Genomic DNA, 23494 nt, shown 5'->3' on the forward strand with positions numbered 1-23494 from the left:
GATTTTCATTTTAAAAAGAACAAATCACTAAATTTAGGAACTAAAGTTTTGAAGGAAGCTGGTCTTATGCAAAGGCAAATATGACTTTGATGTAACATAACTACGTCACGGTGTTTTACCTTTGCCTATTCCTAACCAACTATGCTTTTTTTTTTTTTTTTTTTTTGAGTTGGAGTCTCACTCTGTTGCCCAGGCTGGAGTGCAGTGATATGATCTGGGCTCACTACAACCTCTGCTTCCCAGATTCAAGCGATTCTCTTGCCTCAGCCTCCCGGGTAGCTGGGACTACAGGCGCCCGCCACCACGCCCAGCTAATTTTTTGTATTTTTAATAGAGACGGGGTTTCACCATGTTAGCCAAGATGGTCTCAATCTCCTGACCTCGTGATCCGCCTGCCTCGTCCTCCCAAAGTGCTGGGATTATAGGCGTGAACCACCATACCTGGCCAACCAAATATGCTTTTAAAACTATATCCTAATACCATACTGTAAAACATTTTTTAATTATATCATCAAAAATAAAAAGTTGGCTACTTCCCAAAAAGGGTACCACATATGGCAAGCTCTCCAAGTTATCTACAATAATTTTTCCAATTCCTTCTTGACTAAGGGACAAATAAAAATTACAAATAATTTACTTAATAATTTTTTTAACAAATAAAAATAAAGGACAACCAATTAAATTTGAATTTCAGATAAAGAACACTTTTTTGGGGGGTATAAGGATGTCCCAAATACTGCATGGGCTATACTGCGTGTTATGCACCTACAGCAAACATTTATTCATTGCTTCTCTGAAATTCAAATTGAACCAGGCAATCTGCATTTAATATGGCAACTCTGTTCTTGTCACATGGGCACTTCCTCCTTATCTGACCCATACTGAATCCTGTCAGGTTTTTTTGGGCTGAGAAAAGCCGTGGGGAAGAAGGGACTTCAGAAAAAGCTTTCACCAGGAAAGACCTACATTGGTGCTTCTAGAATTTCAGGCGAATTTGGACCCGTGCCTGTATTACATACCATGGGACAAAAATTACTGTGTGAGCACAAATGTGCTGGCTGGTTTATTTCCCCCCTGAACATAATGAAAATTAAAATGCTTTGAATGAATTGAAAGGGGGTGTTGTTTTAAGGAAGGCTGCCAGGAGCCTGTAAGTTTTTTTCCGCACCAACTGAGACACATCTATGATTTCATTTTAAGCCTCTTTTTGTTAACTGTATACAATTGGTATATGATTCAATAAACCTTATTTGTAAGAAAATATTTTCACCCTCTCTTCAGTAACTTTGTTTCATTATACTGTTGGCATCAGATGATTAAAGACATTTCTGTAAACTACTGACCACAAATGTGAAGCCTGTGAATACACAAAACAAAGTTAAAATCTAACTACCGGGAGACTATATAGTATTATTGAGTAAAGAAAAAAAAAATCTCAATAATTTGAACCTCACTTACTCAAAGAGGTACTAGATTGAACTTGGTACATTGTAAAAAAAAGATTTTTTCTAGGAAAATTAATAGGCTAAGTAGAATTAGAGGGTATGTAATTAAATTATTTAAATTATTTAAGTGTTTAAACAAATATTTTCTCATATAACAAATCGTTCCAAACCAGTTTATTAAAGCAAAGCTCTTCTAAAACAACTTAGCCCGTAATTTACTATCCTACTTGAAATGAAGTAGGATAATTAGTAAATTGTCTGAATGATATCCATCCTTAAAACATTTTACTAATCCTAAACAACACCATTTCCATTTCTTCTTAATTAGTAAGTTTTGACAATTTTATAAATTCTATTTTTAACAAATCCGCCGAACAACCTTTTACCTTACATGTAAACATCATTACGACAATGTTATAACAAAAGTTATTTTTTTTTTAATTTTAAAAGAAACTTGAAAATGTTTAAAATCGGGATGGACGCAGTGGCTCACGCCTGTAATCCAGCACTTTGGGAGGCCGCGGCGAGCCGATCACGAGGTCAGGAGATCAAGACCATCCTGGCTAACACGGTGAAACTCCGTCTCTACTAAAAATGAAAAAAATTAGCTGGGCGTGGTGGCGGGCGCCTGTAGTCCCAGCTACTCGGGAGGCTGAGGCAGGAAAATGGCGTGAACCCGGGAGGCGGAGCTTGCAGTGAGCCGAGATCGCGCCACTGCACTCCAGCCTGGGCGACACAGAGCAAGACTCCGTCTCAAAAAAAAGAGAAACTTTTAGAAGGAACATAATCCCTTACAAATGCATAATAGGCATAGATCAAAGGACCACTCTATTATGATACTGGTATTATGATGTGCTTTAGAAGGTGAGTGTTTTTTTCCTCTGGTGATAATCACTTAAGTTGCGCTCAACAGTTGAAGTATTTTTGCGTTTTTATAATGCGACAAACACTGTGCTAGGTGCAAGAAAATTGAAGATGAATTATACACAGTCCTAATGCTCCAGAATCTTTGGTCTCAATGCATTACTATTCATGGCCCCAAATTCTTTGATTAAGGGATGCTCAAAGGATGCAGTTTGGAGAGAAAGACAGGTCTGCCCGCAGGAGGTGTGAACAGAGTTGAACGATGAAAGGAAATTGGAAAATATTCCCTTTTATCATTGTACCTTCTGCTATGTAGAGGACTCTGTCACTTTTCTGAAACTTTCTCCCACTTTAAATACTCAGCAGAGATCCCCGCTCGGGCCTCTTCCATAGCAACAAACAGGTTTATCTGTCTCCAAACGGATCCATAAGGAGCCTTTGGGCTTGTGTCCTTTTTATGTTCCAGAAGTTGTTATATACTGTGCTGTGAACTTTAAGATAACTCAGCTTCAACGTCTAGCTTCAACATCCTGCTCGGAAGTTAGAACATACCTGCAGAGAGTGTAAATAACTTGTTTCCATCACCCTTTGGGCCTGTGGAAATGGGTAATTGGGAAAAAGAGAAAAAGAAAGACACTCTCCTAATAGTTTTGTGAGCATAGAGAAAAGGAATCCTAGATTTTGGTTAGAGTTTTCATAGTTTCTCAGTATTGTATTTCTCAATATTAGGGACATGAAATCAGGGACTTAGATTTTTTTTCTGTTAATTAAAAGGCAGGGAAGGAAATGCAGAGCACACCTGTTGGGCAGTTGCCACTTGAGCTTTGCCAGTAATTTGGCAGCTCTGAACCCAACAGGTATGGGCTCAGCAGTCAATTTCATTCCCACTATGGTTGTCCCCCCACCCCCTGGGGAGTGAAGAAGGAAGAAAATGAGTGAAATCAGCTTTCTTTTCCTCCTTGCCCAGAGTTCATTATTACCTTCTGATTGTCCTGGGTAATCTTGGTAACTGTTTGTAAGGTCATTATAGCACCTGAGCAGGTGGCTATGGAAGAAGGGCCACTGGCTTTGGATGACTCGGCTGGGTTCAGGTTTTGGATCTGCCTTTTGTTTGGTCTGTAACTCTGGCCCTGTCAGGTGCTGTGTTTGCAGCCATTTCCTCATCTGTGATGGTGCTACCTACCTCCCTGGGTCCGGAGGGAATGAAATGAAATTATGTAGCGTCTTTACTCAGGAGGATGAAAAATAGGAAAACAGTGTTTTCCTGAGCTGTTGAGAAATGTTTAATAAACATTGATGGAGATCCGGGCATGGTGGCTCACGCCTGTAATCCCAGTACCTTGGGAGGCCAAGGTGGGCCGATCACTTGAGCCCAGGAGTTGGAAACTAGCCTGACCAATATGGTGAGACCCTGTCTCTACAAAAACTACAAAAATTAACAGAGCACGGTGGCACGCATCTATGGCCTCAGCTACTTGGGAGCCTGAGGCTGGAGAATCACTTGAACCTGGGAGGAGGAGGTTGCAGTGAGCCAAGATCACGCCACTGCACTCCAGCCTGGGTGACAGTGAGACCCTGTCTCAAAAAACAAACAAACAAACAAACAAAAAAACCAAACACATTGATTGAGTGAAGGAATGACTTAGCAAATGAATTGGTGAGAATGAAATTGATGATATTAAACTTCCATATTGCCTATGGCAAGACAGTCCCAGGTTTTCTTTTTTTTTTTTTTTTCTTGAGATGGAGTCTTGCTCTGTCACTCAGGCTGGAGTGCAGTGGCGCGATCTCGACTCACTGAGATCACCTCCACCTCCCAGTTTCAAGAGATTCTCCTGCCTCAGCCTCCTGAGTAGCTGGGATTAAAGATGCCTACCACCACACCTGGCTAATTTTTGTATTTTTAGTAGAGACGGGTTTCACCATGTTGTCCAGGCTGGTCTTAAACTCCTGACCTCAGGTGATCTGCCTGCCTCGGACTCCCAAAGTGCTAGGATTACAGGTGTGAGCCACCGTGCCCGGCTAGTCCCAGGTTTTCATTCAACGGCCAGGGAATAACAAACTGCTCCTTTCCCCAAGGTGTGGCACCCTCCGTGGAAGCCTTTGACAAGCTGATGGACAGTATGGTGGCCGAGTTTTTAAAGAACAGTAGGATCCTTGCTGGGGACGTGGAGACCCATGTAAGTACTTTCCTCCCCTGTTCTCAGTAGAGAGTTTAAACTTACCAGCCCAGCCTCTGACAACGCTAACAGCCTGAGGAGATCTTTATTTATTTATTTAGTTTTTACTCTGGCTAGGCAGATGGTGGCTAAAACATTCATTTACCCATTTATTCATTTAATTGTTCCTGCAAGGCCTATGGATAGAGTATTGTCCAGCACTGCTCTGGAAGCTAGGAGCATGGGGATGAACAAGATAGGCTACATCCTGTTCTCACAGAACTTCCACTTTAGTCTGGGAAACAGATGATATATACAAATATATAAATGAATTCAGGTAGTTTTAAGTACGAAAAGAATAAGAAAGCAGAGTCATGATTTAGAGTGCTGGAAACAGGGCTATTGCTTGAGATAGGAAGGTGTATCTGAGGTGACACTGAGCAGAGATCTGATGGAGAGAGGTAGTGAGCTGTGGAGTGATGTGGGGAAGACAGTTCCAGACAGAGGGAACAGCAAGAGCGAAGGCTCAGAGCAAGCTTGGTGTGTTCCCAGCAGAACAGAAGGCCTGGGAAAAGATAAGGGAGAGGGGTAACAAGGGCTCAGAGTACAACATGCTCTTCTAGTCACAGTGAGGGACTCGGCTCTCCTTCCCACTGTGATGGGAAGCCACCCGGGGTCACCGGGCAGAGGACTCAGGGCGATTTGATTTATGCTTTTAAAAAGGTCCCCTGGCTGAGCTGACTCAGTCACCAGCCACCCTTCTTCTTTCTGTAAAATGCGGCCTGAGGATATCACCTCATATCCATTGGGATGGCTACTATCCAAAGAACAGGAATTAACAAGTACTGGTTAGGATGGGGAGAAACTGGAGCCTCTACGCACTGTTGATGGGAATGTAAAATGATGCAGGCACTGTGGAAAACAGTGTGTTGGCTCCTCAAAAAAAAAAAAAAATGGAACTACTGTAGATCCAACAATTTCACTTCTATGTATATCCCCCAAATTTAAAAGCAGCATCTCCAAGAGACACCCATGTTCATAGCAGCATTATTCACAATAGCCACGAGGTGGAAGCAACCCAAGTGTGCATTGACAGATACACTAAATGTGGTCTGTACATACAATGGAATATTATTCAGCCTTGAAAAGGAAGGAAATGCTGTTACATGCTGTAGTATGGATGAACCTTGAGGACATTATGCTAAGTGAAATAAGCCAGACACAAAAAGACAAATACTGTATGATTCCATTTATTGGCAGTGCCTAGGGCGGTCAAATTTGTGGAGACAAAGTAGAATGGTGTTTGCCAGAGGCTGGAGGGAGGAGAGAATAGGAAATTGTTCAATGAGTACAGAGTTTCAGTTTTCCAAGATTAAGAAGTTCTGGAGATTGTACAACTATGTGAATATACTTAACACTATTAAGCTGTACACTGAAAATGGTTAAGATGGTAAATTTTATGTTAAGTATATCTTACTATAATTTTGAACAAAGTACAGCCTGAGGAAAAGCAAAAACACAGAATTTGATAATCTCTGGGTTGGAAGAGAACTTTAAAGGTACCTAAGCTAGCCTGCCAGTTTTAGACACTTTTCATATTTTAAAAAATATTAGCATCATCTCCGGGGTTAGTCATTGTTTGCATTCATTTAGTGAAAATCGAATGTGATAGCCAAACCAATTAAAAACATGAAAAGAAATGTATCACTGGGTTCTTCTTTTTCTTTGGCCTTTGTTTCTCACTAAGGATTGAATTCCAAATCTGTCTACCTATAGATTTCTCAGCAATGACAGAATCCTGGCAAAACCATTTTCAGTATAGATTCACAGAAAATCTGATTCTTGAATAAAGTTGTGGTTTGGGGCTTTTCGCATATTCTCACTCATAGGTGGGAATTGAACAATGAGATCACATGGACACAGGAAGGGGAATATCACACTCTGGGGACTGTGGTGGGATGGGGGGAGGGGGGAGGGATAGCATTGGGAGATATACCTAATGCTAGATGACGAGTTAGTGGGTGCAGCGCACCAGCATGGCACATGTATACATATGTAACTAACCTGCACAATGTGCACATGTACCCTAAAACTTAAAGTATAATAAAAAAAAAAAGTTAAAAAAAGTATAAAGGGATTCTCTTTTTGCTCCCCTCCCAATTAGACATCATATGCAACACCCAACACCAGTCTCCCAGGGGATCCAGTGACTCCGGTTATGCCAGAGGCTCCAAGACTGTAATTAAATAGGTGCTTATCTCATCACATTGCAATGTATTTGTTTGCCACATCTAAGAAAAACAAAGATACTTCTCCATTTCTGTTGAAGTACCCCTTGGTGAAAGAGACAAGCCTTGATATATACGAGTTCTGGAAAAACCTGGGCACTAAGATGCATCCACGTCAAATGTATCCCACAGCACTATTGTTACTACTCTAGTCTGTTTTTTTCCTCAGTGTTTTTGTTTACAAGAAACCTTGTATGCAGCAAGAGAGTGGCTGAGCCTCTTGTATTCTGAGGCGTGATAACTCCTGAACGCTAACATACACAAAGGAATATTATCTGCAATACACTGAAAAAGATGCTTGAGTGATTGATGAACATTTTCTGTCTTGAACACTATGACAGTAATCATTGTATCATTATGGTTACTATTCATTAATGCCAACATTAGGCTTCTGAGGTACACAGTACATTATAACTCATTAGGAGTATCTCAAAAATTCTAGATAGAAGCTTTTTACAAGAGAATAATGAGACCTATAAATAAGTATATTTAACTTTGCATTTTTTAAAAAAGTAAGATTTGTATGCTGTCTTCAAATTGCACAGTAAACAGTCCCTTTAAGTTCTTTTTAGAACAGAGTGAGTTATAAAGTGTAGCTTGGTTAATATTAAGTTTTTCATCTCTTCATTCATCAGGCTGTAAACAGGATGACTCAGATGAAGGAATATTCTCAGCAATGAATATGTAATGCTTAAGAAAATTTATGTTCTCCCTAGTTTTTAAAAAATAGAGGAAAGGAAGGAAAAGAATAGAAGACAGAAGGAAGAAAGGCAAGCAAGAAAGAGAGAAAGAAAGAAACACTTGTCATCTGAAAGTTTAGACTCCAGCTCTACAACACAAAGAAAAGTACAGGCAGCTATAGTCCATCTGCCCATGACGTTAATACTTTGAACATGCCGTTTATTTTTTCTCTCGCTTACAGAACCATGTGTCATTGGCATTAAGCTTGCAGCTGTTGCCTCTCACATCAGCCAGAAGTGGGGGTTGAACTTTATTCCAAGAACACACCTGTTGCCTAGGAAAAAAGCCCTCACATACCTGATTGTACAGGATGGAAATTTGAGAGTGACACAAATGTGCATCATATTAAATCCTGTGCCTGTGCTTAAAAGTCATTTCACAGATACCAGTAAGGAATAAGGGCAGCCAAGCTATGATTTAACGTCTGTCTCGATGTGTTGGCTGCTGGTTGGGCTTAATTTACTGAACACTCAATAGCCTATTGACAGAACAGACCACAAAAAAGGGGATCTAATAGCTACAATTAGGAATCTCTGCTGAACCTAAGAGCATAACAGGTTTAGAAAAGATTAGAACTTGTAAAGCCTTCTTGTGTGCAGCCTAAACCAAAGGGCTTATTTAAACTACTCTTCAACCCAAGAAACTTGACACAGCTTGCACCCCTTTTAAAAAAGAATAGATAATTTTATGCATAATTGCATACATGCATGATTTTATAATAGATATTGGGTAAATAGAGTTCTCAATGTCAAAGAAGCAGATCCTCTAGAAACTGGGCCTATATAATACCTAGCCCTTGGTTGGACATCATTTATCCATAAATAGATTTATGTGACTTTGGGTTTTTTTTTTTTTTTCGAGACAGAGTCTTGCTCTGTTGCCCAGGCTTGAGTGCAGTGGCGTGATCTGAGCTCACTGCAACCTCCACCTCCCGGGTTCAAGCGATTCTCCTGTCTCAGCCTCCCAAGTACCTGGGATTACAGCCGCACGCCACTACGTCTGGCTAATTTTTGTATTTTTCGTAGAGACGGGGTTTTACCATGTTGGCCAGGCTGGTCTTGAACTCCTGACCTCGTGATCCACCCGCCTCAGCCTCCCAAAGTGCTGGGATTATAGGCGTGAGCCACTGCACCCGGCCATTAGGGGTTATTTTTTAACAAAGTTATCCTATTGTTAGGATTCATGGCGGAACTGATCTCAGGTCTATTTCTAATTGATGTGACAAATAGGAAGCAACTGCAAATCATAGCTTTTCCTAACCCAAGTCTTTTTTAGAGATTTCTAGAACTTACATTTTAAATGTTTGTAGGAATCTGGAATCTTTATTTCCTGTTCTTGATTGAAATGGACTTAAAAAACTGCTGTTACCACATGCTCTCACTAATAAGTGGGAGCTAAACATTGAGAACACGTGGTCACAAAGAAGGGGACAATAGACAGTGGGCCAACTGGAGGGTGGAGGGCAGAAGAAGGGTGAGGATCAGAAAGTACCTGTCAGGTGCTATGCTTATTACCTGGGCAATGAAATAATCTGTACACCAAACCTCCGCGACACAAAATTTACCTACATAACAAACCTGTATGTGTACCCCTGAACCTAAACTAGAAGTTTAAAAAAAGATATCGTTAAAAAAAATAATTTTTATTAATTATTTAAAATGAAAGAACCACAATTTGAACAAAAGGGCAATAAAATTCAACTAAACGTAACACACATAAGGCATACTATGATTAAATCACATGCTGTATAATGTTCTGTCCTTGAGTTCTTTGACTTCTATAAAGGATGAACATGATCAGAAAATTATTACAGCCTCACTTTTGATGGGTCATAGTCACTATGCTAGATATTCCTAGTCTTTACCATTTATTTAAATCATCTACAAAATAGCTTGCTCACTTTGTGCCATGCTGTTCAGTTAATGAGTTCAAAGAGTGGCAAAATGAGAAGTCTCTGTTCCTCTGACTCACACTGGCAGATTGTATTAATATTTGGATTTAGAGTGGCCCTGCTTTTGACAGCATGACCTTGAGCTAGTCCCTTCATCTGCTCCTTAACGAGGCAGGATGACATAATTTCTCAGGGCCTCTGTCTCTCAATAGCCCATGCACCTGACTCATCAGTTCTCTCAGCCTGAAAGCATGAGGGAGCTATTCGGTTTCCAAATGAAGAGCTTGCAATAGGGTGGCCTCATCACCATTATAAAGAGCATCTTCAGCCATGCCAGGGAAGATGCCCTGAGAAACAAGCAGAAGGAACCATGTCAGAAAAAGGATACACAGAGCACTAAAGACAAAACATCTTTCCACTCTCCTGTGGTATAGATGAACATCAGCCTCCTTCATCTGAAAGGACCCGGAGGCCTCTACCAGTCTGTGCTTTCTGGTCCTACGAGTTGTCACATCTTCCTTTACATGAATCTTATCTCTGAAACATATAATAGCCTTATCTCTGGAATAAATAATACAGAATATCTGCATGTTTATTTTACGGATGGTATCTTGTATTCTTTCAATTCTTTTGATTCTTGAAAATATTTATGGATCACCTGTACTCATTTTAAAAGTGACCATTTACATGTTTGGTGCTTTAGAATCTGTGTCTATCCAGGATCCCCATCCCAAAAAATCTTATCAGAAGCACCACTGTGAGGCTGACTCAGCAAACCAGCCCATTCCATGTCGTTCTCCTCACCTCCCCACTCTGCCTTCAGCCAACTTGCTCTTCCCATGAACTTCCAGTTTTCTGTTCACTGTTTTAATTTGAACATTAATTTTTATTACCACTAGATGTGGAATATCTTGGCAATTGCAAGCCCGAAGAATCTGTATGTCTTTCAGTTTCACCAAATGGCAGAGATCCAAAAAATGACTTGCATCAAGAATTCTGCCTCTAGGTTTCATCCAGGCTTTAAATGGGGCATCTTCTTTCTTACTGGCTTAGCCATTAATGATAGCCAGAATTTTTAGAGAAGGAAGCATTTAAAAGTCATCTATTCCAGTTATCCACCCCTCCACCCCCTTGCTTGCTTGCTTTTCTTCTTTTTCTTGCTTCTTTCTTCCCTTCCTTTCTTCTCCCTCTTTTCTTTCTTTTCCTTTCTTTCCATTTATTTTCATCCTTCTTTCCTTCCCTACTTCCTTCTCTCCTTTTGTTTTTTCCCTCTTTTTGTCTTCCTCCCTTCCTTCCGTCTCCCTTTCCTTTGCTTTTATTTTCTTTTACTTCCTTCCTTCCCTTCTTTTTCCTCCCTCCCTCCCTCCCTCTCTCCCCCCTCCCTCCCTCTCTCCCTTCCATCCGTCCATCTATCTGTCTTTCTATCTTCTACAGAGAAGGAAACTGCAAATTAGAGAGGCTAGGTGATGTGCGTGGTGTGTTAAAGATCTCAGCAATGCAGTGGCAGAGCCAGGAATCTAGTCTCCAGAGTCTCTGTCTGTCACCTTGGCAGGCACCTACTTTAACCTGCAGTAGGATGGCCTCATCACCATTGTAAAAAGCATCTTCAGCCATGCCAGGGAAAACACCATGAGAAGCAAACAGAAGGAACCATGTCAGAAAAAGGATTTACAGAACACCGAAGATAAAACATCTTCTCTTCTTGCTCTCTCCTTGTGGTATAGACAAACATCTGACTCCTTCGTCTAAAAGGACTGTAGGCCTCCACGTTTCTGTGCTTTCAGGTCCTACAAGTTGTCATGGCAGCTGTGTCTCCCACCACCCTTGTGGTAATTGGCTGACTGGTGAGAAGCAAGACCGCACTGACCTGCCTCCTTCCTCACTCCCTCTTTCTAGAAGAGGAGGATAGGTCTCCATGACCAGGCTTAGGCCCAGGGCAGAGGAGAGGGTGGAAGGCTACTGTGCCTCTTAGTGACCAGGAGAATGCTGCCTCCAGGACAGAACTCTGTCCCTCTAGGTCTTCATTTCTGCGCCTTTGCACTGGCGTGGGCTCGGCCTGATCATTACTATGCTGTTGGCACCAAATTTGCAGAATTCAGAAAAGTCACAGATAGATCAGCCTCTGTTACCGTGTCTTCCCAAGAACGTGGAGAAGTTTTATTCTCAGCGTAGAACACATAGTTTGCTACCAAACATGCTTTGATTCACAGCCCATCTCCTGCTAAATCTCAGGCCTTCATTGGACATCCCTGTGACTCCTTTTTTACTTAAAGTTTGTTTCTAGAGCATACAATCCTCATCTATCTCACTAAACATCCTAATTTCACAAACACACTTAGAGCTTTGGGGACCGGCCAGTAAGAAACTGGACTTGGAATCAAAACCAGACTTCGAAGGGCCACCAGGCCTGACCAACCACAGGATTGCCCATTTACTCTACCAATGAAAAAAATCACCAAGATACCTTGCTGAAACAACGAGTCAGATTCCATGAGTCTCTAAGGTTAAGATGATAAGATGATACCTGCCCTTTTTCTTTTTCCTGGACAGCAAATATGCTTTCTGCCAAACTCTTGCTTCAATGTTTTTCTTTCTGCTTTTTTAGTAATTTAATTTCTTTTCTTTTTTTTTCTCTTTTTTTCTTTCTTTTTTTTTTTGAGACAGAGTCTCACTCTGTTGCCTAGGCTGGAGTGCAGTGGTGCAATCTCAGATCACTGCAACCTCCGCCTCCCAGGTTCAAGCAATTGGCCTGCCTTAGCCTCCTGAGTAGCTGGGACTATAGACCCGCACCACCAAGCCCGGCTAATTTTTGTGTTTTTAGTAGAGACGGGGTTTCACTCTGTTGGCCAGGCTGGTCTCGAATTCCTGACCTCAAGTGATCCACCTGCCTCGGCCTCCCAAAGTGCTGGGATTACAGGCGTGAGCCACTGCACCTGGCCTGATTTAATTTTTTGAGTAAATGTTTGCATGGGTTAAAAAATTGAAGCCAGGAAAAGCACCACGTGTACTTTGTGTAGTAACGTGTACTAATGTACGTGTTCATCCCATTTCCCTCCATACCCCTGAAGGTGATGACTTTTTAAGTTTCTTATGTATCCTTCCAGTGTTTGTTTTTGAAAATACATTTATTCTTATTTTCCTTTTATTACTAAACGGTCACTTCATTATGTACACTGCTTCACACCTTGTTTTCTTCACTTAACAATATATCCAGAATCTACAATGAACTCAAACAAATTTACAAGAAAAAAACAAACAACCCCATCAAAAAGTGGGCGAAGGACATGAACAGACACTTCTCAAAAGAAGACATTTATGCAGCCAAAAAACACATGAAGAAATGCTCATCATCACTGGCCATCAGAGAAATGCAAATCAAAACCACTATGAGATATCATCTCACACCAGTTAGAATGGCTATCATTAAAAAGTCAGGAAACAACAGGTGCTGGAGAGGATGCGGAGAAATAGGAACACTTTTACACTGTTGGTGGGACTGTAAACTAGTTCAACCATTGTGGAAGTCAGTGTGGCGATTCCTCAGGGATCTAGAACTAGAAATACCATTTGACCCAGCCATCCCATTACTGGGTATATATCCAAATGAGTATAAATCATGCTGCTATAAAGACACATGCACACGTATGTTTATTGCGGCACTATTCACAATAGCAAAGACTTGGAACCAACCCAAATGTCCAACAATGATAGACTGGATTAAGAAAATGTGGCACATATACACCATGGAATACTATGCAGCCATAAAAAATGATGAGTTCATATCCTTTGTAGGGACATGGATGAAATTGGAAACCATCATTCTCAGTAAACTATCGCAAGAACAAAAAACCAAACACCGCATATTCTCACTCATAGGTGGGAATTGAACAATGAGATCACATGGACACAGGAAGGGGAATATCACACTCTGGGGACTGTGGTGGGGTCGGGGGAGGGGGGAGGGATAGCATTGGGAGATATACCTAATGCTAGATGTCACATTAGTGGGTGCAGCGCACCAGCATGGCACATGTATACATATGTAACTAACCTGCACAATGTGCACATGTACCCTAAAACTTAGAGTATAATAAAAAAAAAAAAAAAAAAAAAAAGAAGTTTACGGATAAAAAAAAAAAAAAACAAAAAAAAAACAATATATTCTAGAGATCTTTTCTGTCAGTCCATCTAGAGCTTCTTCACTGTTTTTTACGGCTTCAAAATACTCCTCTGTGTAGTTTATCACAGTTTATTTGACCAGATCCCTGTTGCTGGACATTGGGTTGTTTCTAATCTTTTGTTACAGTGCATAAGCATGTATTTTCTATATATACAAGTATATCTGAGGATAAATTCTCCAAAATGGGATTCCAGGGTGTATCAGTCAGGGTCCTGGAAGGATACTCATGGATAGATCCTGTGAGTCTCTAAGGTTAAGATGACTAAACTCTTAATCTTGGCATGGTTAAACTAAGGAATCTTTCTTTCTTTCTTTCTTTCCTTCCTTCCTTCCTTCCTTCCTTCCTTCCTTCCCTCCTTCCTTCCTTCCTTTCTTGATAGAGTCTCACTCTGTCACCCAGGCTGGAGCACAGTCATGCGATTTCGGTCACTGCAACCTCTGCCTCCTAGGTTCAAGTGATTCTCCTGCCTCAGCCTCCCAAATAACTGGGATTATAGGTGCGTGCCACCCTTCCAGCTAATTTGTTTTTTCTTTTGTGTTTTTAGTAGAGACAAGGTTTTACCATGTTGGCCAGGCTGGTCTTGAACTCCTGACTTCAAGTGGTCCACCCGCCTTGGCCTCCCAAAGTGCTGGGATTATAAGCATGAGCCACCGCGCCTGGCCCAAACAAGGGAATTTGAGGAGAGTTTAATAAAGGGACTATTTCGAAAGCTGTGAGCAGGCAGTCAGGAAACAAGAAATCATAAAGTACCCAGGACTGCCAATCACAGGAATCACTGCTACCCCAAGGTTTGGAGAGGAAGAGAGAGGGAGGCGGGTATCAGAACCTTCCGCAGAGAGACACGGCCATGCAATGGAGACCAGCAGGAAGAACCAGGGGAATAAAGGCCACCTTCTGCTTGTCTCCCTTGCTCCAGTCTCCTCTCAAGCCTTCCACTGACTGAACCCAGTGAGAATCCAGGAGCCAAGGAGCCTGTGGATGCTGATGCCATCTATGTCAGGGGTCCCCATCCCTGTTAGGAACCAGGCTGCAGAGCAGGAGGTGAGTGGCAGGCAGGTGAGCGGCCAAAGCTTCATCTGTACTTAGAGCCACTCCCCATCCCTTGCATTACTACCTGAGCTCTGCCTTCTGTCAGATCAGTGGCGGCATTAGATTCTCAGAGGAGCATAAACCCTATGGTGAACTGCGCATTCGAGGGATCTAGGTTTTGTGCTCCTTATGAGAATCTAATGCCTTATGATCTGTCACTGTCTCCCATCACCCCCAGATGGGACTGTCTAGTTACAGGAAAATAAGCTCAGGGCTCCCACAGATTCTACATTGTGGTGAGTTGTATAATTATTTCATTATATATTACAATATAATAATAGAAATAAAGTGCACAATAAGTGTAATGCACTTGAGTCATCCCCAAACCATCCTCCTGCTCTGTCTGTGGAAAAATTGTCTTCCATGAAATTGACCCTTGGTGCCAAAAAGGTTGGGGACCACTGGTCTAGTGGTTGGCCTGGAGCACAGAGCAGGGTGCAGCAGGGTAGAGAGTGGGTCTAGAGCAGCAGAACAGGGATAGGCGGGATGCTGGGTGAAGGGAAGGGCATTGTGCTTTTGAGATCTGTTGTAAATTGCCTTCCATGGGGATATGCCTGTTATACTTTCATCAGCAATGGATGAGTGTGTCTGTTTCCCCAAACTCACCTACAGAGGGGGATGTCAGTGGAGTTTTGCCAATCTGATGGGTGACAAACAGTATTTCTGTGTCGTTTTCAATTTGTATTTTTCTTATGATGAGTGAGGTTGAGCACTTTTTCATATGTTTAAGGGTCACAGGCTGGGCGTGGTGGCTCATGCCTGTAATCTCAGCACTTTGGGAGGCTGAGGCGGGAGGATCATGAGGTCAAAAGATCAAGACCAGTCTGGCCAACACGGTGAAACCCTGTCTCTACTAAAAATACAAAAATTAGCTGGGCATGGTGGCACATGCCTGTAATCCCAGCTACTCAGGAGGCTGAGGCAGGAGAATAGCTTGAATCTGGGAGGTGGAGTTTGCAGTGAACAGAGATCACGCCACTGCACTCGGTCCAACCTGGGCAACAGAGCACGACTCCGTCTCAAAGAAAAAAGGGTCACATATCACTTTTGCTGTGAGTTGTTTATGCATTTCTTTAGTCCATAGGCGGGAGCAAGAAAGTCATTGGTTTATTATTGATTTGTAGAGAACTTTACATGTTGGGGATATTAGCCTCTGTCTGTGGTGAGAGATACAAATATTTTTCCCCATTGTCACTATGGCATTATGACTAGATTATAACATTGCTGGCCAGGCGTGGTGGCTCAGGCCTGTAATCCCAGTGCTTTGGGAGGCCAAGGTGGGCGGATCACAAGGTCAGGAGTTCAAGACCAGCTTGGCCAACATGGTGAAACCCCGTCTCTACTAAAAATACAAAAATTAGCTGGGCGTGGAGGTGGGTGCCTGTAATCCCAGCTACTCGGGAGGCTGAGGCAGGAGAATTGCCCCAACCCAGGAGGTGGAGGTTGCAGTGGGCCGAGATCGTGCCACTGCACTCCAACCTGGGCGAAAGAACGAGATTCCATCTCGAAAAACAAACAAAAAAAGAATTGCTTATGTTGGTTTTTTTGTTTGCTTGTTTGACCATCCAGAAGTGTTTTTTTTTTTTTTTTTTTTTTTGAGACGGAATCTTTGTCTGTTGCCCAGGCTGGAGTGCAGTGGCACGATCCTGGCTCACTGCAAGCTCTGCCTCTCAGGTTCATGCCATTCTCCTGTCTCAGCCTCCTGAGTAGCTGGGACTACAGGCGCCCACAACCACGTCCAGCTAATTTTTTTGTATTTTTAGTAGAGACGGGGTTTCACAGTGTTAGCCAGGATGGTCTCAATCTCCTGACCTTGTGATCCGCCCACCTCGGCCTCCCAAAGTGCTGGGATTATAGGTGTGAGCCACCGCACCCGGCCCAGAAGTTTTTTTATGTAGTAGAATTTATTATAAACATATCTTTTTTTTTTATGGCTTCTAGAATGTGAGTTGTCATTTAAAAGGCTTTTTCTGCCGGGCGCGGTGGCTCACGCCTATAATCCCAGCACTTTGGGAGGCCAAGGTGGGCAGATGACGATGTCAGGAGTTCAAGACCAGCCTGACCAACATGGTGAAACCCCGTCTCTACTAAAAACACAAAAATTAGCCGGGCGTGGTAGTGCACACCTGTAATCCCAGCTACTTGGGAGGCTGGGGCAGGAGAATCGCTTGAACCCAGGAGCCGGAGGTTGCAATGAATCAAGATTGTGCCATTGCACTCCAGCCTGGGCTACAGAGCGAGACTCTGTCTTAAAAAAATAAAGAGAGAGAGAAAAAAGAGAGAGAGAAAAAAAAGGCTTTTTCTTCTAACACTTTCATGGCTTTATTTTTGACACATAAATTTGATCCACATTTGAGTTTATCTTGGTGAATGACGTTAAGGCATGGATCCAACTGTTTTTTTTTTTTCCAGATAGGTTCCTGCAGTTCCCATCACTATCATTAATCAGTCCATTTCCCCCATGGATCGAAATGCTGCCTTTATCACATGCTAAACACCTGTATATCTTCAGGTCTGTTTTTGGACTTTCTGTTCATTCCATTGTGCTGTTCATGTCTCAGTTCCAACTGCTTTAGTCACTGAGGATTTAGAGCAGCAGTAGTCAACCTTTTTGGCACCAGGGACCGATTTCCTGGAAAACAGTTTTTCTGTGGACCGGGGAGAGGGATTGCACTTTATTTCTATTGTTATTATATACTCATCAGAAGATAGAATCAGTGAGAGCCCTGAGCTTATTTTCCTGCAACTAGACGGTCCCATTTAGGGGTAATGGGAGACAGTGACAGATCATCAGGCATTATATTCTCGTAAGGAGCACACAACCTAGATCCCTCGCGTGCAGTGTTCACAATAGGGTTCATGCTCCTATGAGAATCTAATGCCATTGCTGATCTCACAGGTGGTGGAGCTCGGGCGGTAATGCAAGCGATGGGGAGTGGCTATAAATATAGACGAAGCTCCAGTCACTTGCTTGCTGGCTTGCTCACTGCTCACCTCCTGCTGTGCACCCCACTTCCTAACAGGCCATGGACCAGTACCAGTCTGTGTGTCCTGGGGGTTGGGGACCCCTGATTCAGAGTATGTTTCATGTGTAATAGAGTTAATTCCCCCCATAGGTCTTCCTATCCAGAGTTCTCCTGGATGGTCTTGCTTGTCTTTGCTTTTTTATTTAAAATCAGCTTGTCTGTTTCCAGAAGAAAAATGTTGGAGTTTTTATTGGAATCGGTTAAAATTATAAGTTAGTATTAAAATGTTCACATGTGTGTGATGTTGAGTCTTCCTCTCCAAAATCAGGATATGTCTCTCCATTGATTCAAGTCCACTTTTGTATCCTTCAGGAGTAGGATTAAGTTTTTCTGCAGAGTTTTGGCATGATTCTTGAGTTTATTTTGGAGGACAGGGGCTGTTATTTTTAGTAAATGGGCTAATTTTGTCTGTGTATTTTTGAATTGGTTGTTCGTATATGTGAAAGCTGCTGATTTCTGTGTGTTAATTTGTGTCTGGCTACCTTTCTGAAGTTCACTTTTGTTGTTGTTTATTGGAGCTTTTCAGTTGATTATTCAGCACTTTTTCAGTATATAGTTATTTGCAAGTAGTAATTACTGACCTCTTCCTTTTTATACCTTTCATGTCTTTTTATTTACTATTACCTTTAAGACAGTATTTTAAAAATGTTGACAGAGGCTTATCTTTTAGCAGGAATGTCAGCCCATTAAGTATGATGCTTGTTTTGGGCTGAAAACAAACTGTGTGTGGTGTGTGTGTGTGTGTGTGTGTGTGTGTGTGGTCATTTTAATGTTCAATTCTGTATCTCCCATTTTTTTATTATACTTTAAGTTCTAGGGTACATGTGCACAACATGCAGGTTTGTTACATATGTACTCATGTGCCGTGTTGGTTTGCTGCACCCATTAACTCGTCATTTATATTACGTATTTCTCCTAATGCTATCCCTCCCACATCCCCCCACCCCATGACAGGCCCTAGTGTGTGATGTTCCCCGCCCTGTGTCCAAGTGTTCTCTTTGTTCAGTTCCCACCTATGAGTGAGAACATGCAATGTTTAGTTTTCTGTCCTTGCAATAGTTTGCTCAGAATGATGGTTTCCAGCTTCATCCGTGTCGCTACAAAGGACATGAACTCATCCTTTTTTATGGCTGCATAGTATTCCATGGTGTCTCCCATTTTTAAGCAAGAAGATTGTTGAATTTTTTTCAAAGGTCTTTTTCAGCATCTATAGATGCTAAAAATATAACTTTTCTTCTTAGATCTTTTAATAAATTACATTAATATATTAGTATTTCTTCATATTGAGTCATTCTTATATTTTAGGAGGCTATTTAGTTATATCGAAGTGACCATTCTAAACTTTATCTCATGTTTCTTTCAAGATGTTTAAGGAATTTCACAGTGGCAAAGAGAAATACGAAATTTTCTGAGTTATGTAAACTAATTTGTTCAAGGAAAACATGCTGCCTTTGAAAAATCCTTATGTACTTTCAAGCTTTATTATTAATATATTATTAAATATCAAGTGCATTTTAAAATACTTTTTAAATCTTAAGACCATTGTATGTACACAGTACATAGGCTTATTTCAGATCCTCTGTCCAAATGAAAACAAAATTGTCGTTTTTACTTTGAGACAGGGTCTCACTCCTTTCGCCCAGGCTGGAGTGCAGTAGCAAGATCAAGGCTCACTGCAGCCTCAACTTCCTGGGGTCAGGTGATTCTCCCACCTCAGCCTCCTGAATAGCTGGGACTACAGGTGCACACCACCACGCTCAGCTAATTTTTCATATTTTTAGTAGAGACAGCGTTTCACCATGTTGCTCAGGCTGGTCTTGAACTCCTAGGCTCAAGCAATCCTCCCACCTTGGCCTCCCAAAGTGTTGGGATTACAGGAGCGAGCCACGGTGCCTGGCCTTAAAAATATACATTTCCTATCATAGATTCATAGTTAAACTACGGCCAACAGATTTGAAATGTGTAACTGTTGAAAACAAAAGTTCAAATTAACTTTAAAATGCATTTTTTTCTGTTATGTACGTAACCTACACTTTTCAAATTTAAAATTAAAAAAAAAACAGCAACAATAACATGTAGGAATTGTAATGAACTCTTGTTGCGTTCACTTCTTTGCATAACTCGTTATTGCCTGTACAAACAAATTAAGCAGGAAGAGGAAGAACCTCCACAATGACATTAGCCTTTCCTGGCCTGTTTTCAGTAGTTGATACTTTAGGGGCAATTAAATTCTTTGGTCGAGTAAGTCAGGCAAAGCTGAATCCTCACTGGAGTTGCTGAATCTGAAAGAGATTCCTCTACTCCTTAGAGCTCATGATATAATGATTGGAATATTGCACTAGGGGAAGGAAACCTGGGTTTCACCTCCAAGTTGACCATGAACTTAGTGTGCAGCTGTGGATGGGGTTCTTAATTCTCTGGGTCTTTGAATCTGCACATGATGATGTTCGCCGCCAGGAAACCTGTGGAGCACCTGCCCTGATTCTTCCTTTCTGTTCTGTGTTCGCTGACATAAGCAAAACGGAACAGACAACATGTGCAGGGGTGAATTTGTGAGCATGCCCAGGGCTGCTGTGCTTGGGGTGAATCACATTACCCTTGGGTACCTCTTCACTTGCATCTGGGAAAAAACTGATTGAGTCTCACATGCATGATATTCCTCTGTGGAAATGCATGGCATGTATCTACAGCTCAGTCCATGCCAGAAGTTCCTGAGAGCTGGCTGGGTGTGGTGGTTCAGGCCTGTAATCCCAGCATTTTTAGAGGCCAAGTGGGGGGAATTGCTTGAGGCCAGGAGTTCAAGACCAGCCTAAGCAATATAGTGAGACCCCATCACTATTTTTTTTTTTTGAGACAGAATATCACTCTTTCACCCAGGCTGGAGTGCAGTGGCAGCATCTTGGCTTACTGCAACCTCTTCCTCCTGGGTTCAAGCGATCCTCGTGCCTCAGCCTCCCGAGTAGCTGGAACTACAGATGTGCGCCACCATGCCAGGCTAATTTTTCTGCGTTTAGTAGAGATGGAGTTTCACCATGTTGACCAGGCTGGTCTCAAACTCCTGACCTCAAGTAATCCACCGCCTCGACCTCCCAAAGTGCTGGGATTACAGGCATGAGCCACTGGCCCCGGCTGGCCCCATCACTATTAAAAAAATAAAACTCTTGAGAGTAACCAGCAACTTTCTTCCTAACATTTTCTCCTCAAAAATACCCTTTCATTAGCTGAGCATGGTGGCACGCACCTGTAGCCCTGGCTTCTCGGGAGACTGAAGCGGGAGGATCATTTTAGCCCAGGAGTTCTAGGCTGCAGTGGGCCACTATCACGGTATTGCACTCCAGCCTGGGTGACAGAGGAGGCTCTGTCCTAAAAAAAGAAGAAAAAAATATGCTTTTAGAGGATTGTTTCCAATGTCCTGAATTAATCATGTTACTGAATACTGCAGAATATATGTTCTTTGTCTTGCCTCTTGCCTTGACGCCTCTTTTCCCTACTTGCCGTCTTTCTAAAACTGTGCCCATAATTGGAAATTTGTTGTTGTTTTCTATCTAGACTTCGAGATAACTCTGTTGTTTGCCTGGAGGCTGCTTCAGCAATACTTTTGTACAAAAGGAATGACCTCTTTACATACTGATTTCGTTTAGCTTATCTTGTTATTTCTATTCATGCACCCATTCCCACAAAACACACAGACACACACACACACACACACGTGCGCACGTGCACTCCCTCCACTCATCTATGAATTCCTCATGATATTGTATTGGCTACATGTAAGAAAAAACAGTCTCAGTCAAATGTATGGGCACACTGGCTGAAGCATCACTCTGATTCTAGGGAATGTGTTTGCAGATTTATTATATTACTATGCATAAAGCAAGTACAAAATATGTTTTCCAACCTTCAGTATTTTTTTCCTTTTCTGGTTGTCTTTACATTGTGGTTTAACACTGTTAGTTTTAAAACATGCCAGATTTTACATACACACACATATGTTATAACATATTACACACCAAGTCTTTTTCATGTATCAAATATAAGATGTTTTAGTGATGTAAAAGAGAACTCACATGTGTTTGCAATACAAATCCTTTCCCTTTTAGAAAACCCTTTTAAAAAAATATTTTAAATAGTGAGGTACTTGGAATGCTGATACTTGACTTTCAATTGCTTTAGTTAAAACAAATTCATATACAGGTAAAGTAGCATGATTTATAACTTTGGGCCCACCTGTTGAGAGTTGGGGTTTATTACAAGGTTCCAGAATTATGCTCTTTTCTTCCAGCCCTGTCTCTGTCTAGCACTGTGCCCATAATAGCTAGTAAGTGTTTTCTAAATACATAAGTGAAAACAAGTATTTAAATGGATGAATCAAATTATTAAGGAAGAATGGAATCAATGGACAGATGAATTTACTGTGGCGGACAGCTTGAATCAAGCCAAACCTAGACCAGTAGTTAAAAAACAAATCATCAGCTAGGCGTGGTGGCTCACGCCTGTAATCCCAGCATTTTGGGAGGCCGAGGCAGGCAGATCACGAGGTCAAGAGATAGAGACCATCCTGGCCAACATGGTGAAACTTGGTTTCTACTAAAAATACAAAAATTAACTGGGTGTGGTGGCATGCTAGGACCTGTAGACCCAGCTACTCGAGAGGCTGGGGCAGGAGAATCGCTTGATTCCGGAAGGCAGAGGTTGCAGTGAGCCGAGATCGCGCCACTGCACTCCAGCCTGGCGACAGAGCAAGACTCTGTCTCAAAAAAAAAAAAAAAAAAAGTCATCATGGCCCAGGTTTTAAGTCATGAAATTAGCAAGTGAAATATTGAGAAACATAGACTATTATCAACACCTGTGAAAAGAAGGGGAAAAATACGTAGACTATTAGATTGCCATGTCTCTGTAGATTTTTGTTTCTCTCTCTCCACACACACACACACACACACACACACACACACACACACAACACGAGTCCTGATTTTATCACAGCTGTGACAGTTTATCCAGTACCCGCCTCATTCCCTTCATTCTCGTTGCTCTTTTGTAGTTGAGGAAAGTGAGCCATTGAAAGACTGGGGCTCTGAGGCAATATAAGAAAGTGAGACTAAGATACATAAGTAACCTGAAAATTCACCAATATATTGACTTATAATCACTGACAATAGAAACACCTTTAGCTCCACCTGAGACAAGATATTTATGTGAACCTTACTGTAAGTATTTTATCTTATTATTTATCTATTTGGAGACAGAGCCTTACTCCGCCACCCAGGCTGGAGTGCAGTGGCACAATCTCAGCTCACTGCAACCTCCACCTCCCAGGTTCAAGCAATTCTCCTGCCTCAGCCTCCTAAGTAGCTGAGATTACAGGCATGTGCCACCACACCCAGCTAGTTTTTGTATTTTTAGTAGAGAGGGGGTTTCACCACGTTGGCCAGGCTGGTCTTGAACTCCTGACCTCAGGTGATCCACCCATCTCGGCCTCCGAAAGTGCTTGGATTGTAGGCGTGAGCCACCACGCCTGGCCTCTATAAATATTTTAAACTGAAGGTCAGGTTAAGAAATAGAATTTCGTTTGGTTTTCCAGTTTGGATTGGGTTGTGGCATGTTGCTTCCCCCTCAATTGTTTTCAAAATGATAGCGATCGGGCAAGAAATGACTTTGGAGTCTGAAAGGGTAAGTTGGGAAATTAAACTTTTGGTGGGGACTTTACTGTGTATTTCTAATAATCAAATCTCCCTGGTTTCAAGAGTCTTTGACCGTATTTATATCATTGTAAACATCTGGATGGAAAGTGAAAAATTCAGTTGATTATC

General features: G+C 41.9%; 1 protein-coding gene across 3 annotated transcripts in view; it reads left to right on the top strand.

The window, feature by feature from the left end:
• CAP2 (cyclase associated actin cytoskeleton regulatory protein 2) overlaps positions 1 to 23494 on the top strand; it is a 164186-nt gene that overhangs the window by 28607 nt on the left and 112085 nt on the right. For all 3 annotated transcript variants that reach the window (NM_006366.3, NM_001363533.2, NM_001363534.2), the window contains exon 3: positions 4389 to 4489. In NM_006366.3, the coding sequence (NP_006357.1) occupies positions 4389 to 4489 (101 nt within the window). The remainder of the gene's footprint in view (positions 1 to 4388; positions 4490 to 23494) is intronic.

The sequence above is a fragment of the Homo sapiens genome, chromosome 6 (genome assembly GCF_000001405.40).
Source record: "Homo sapiens chromosome 6, GRCh38.p14 Primary Assembly".
NCBI classification, from domain to species: Eukaryota; Metazoa; Chordata; class Mammalia; order Primates; family Hominidae; genus Homo; species Homo sapiens.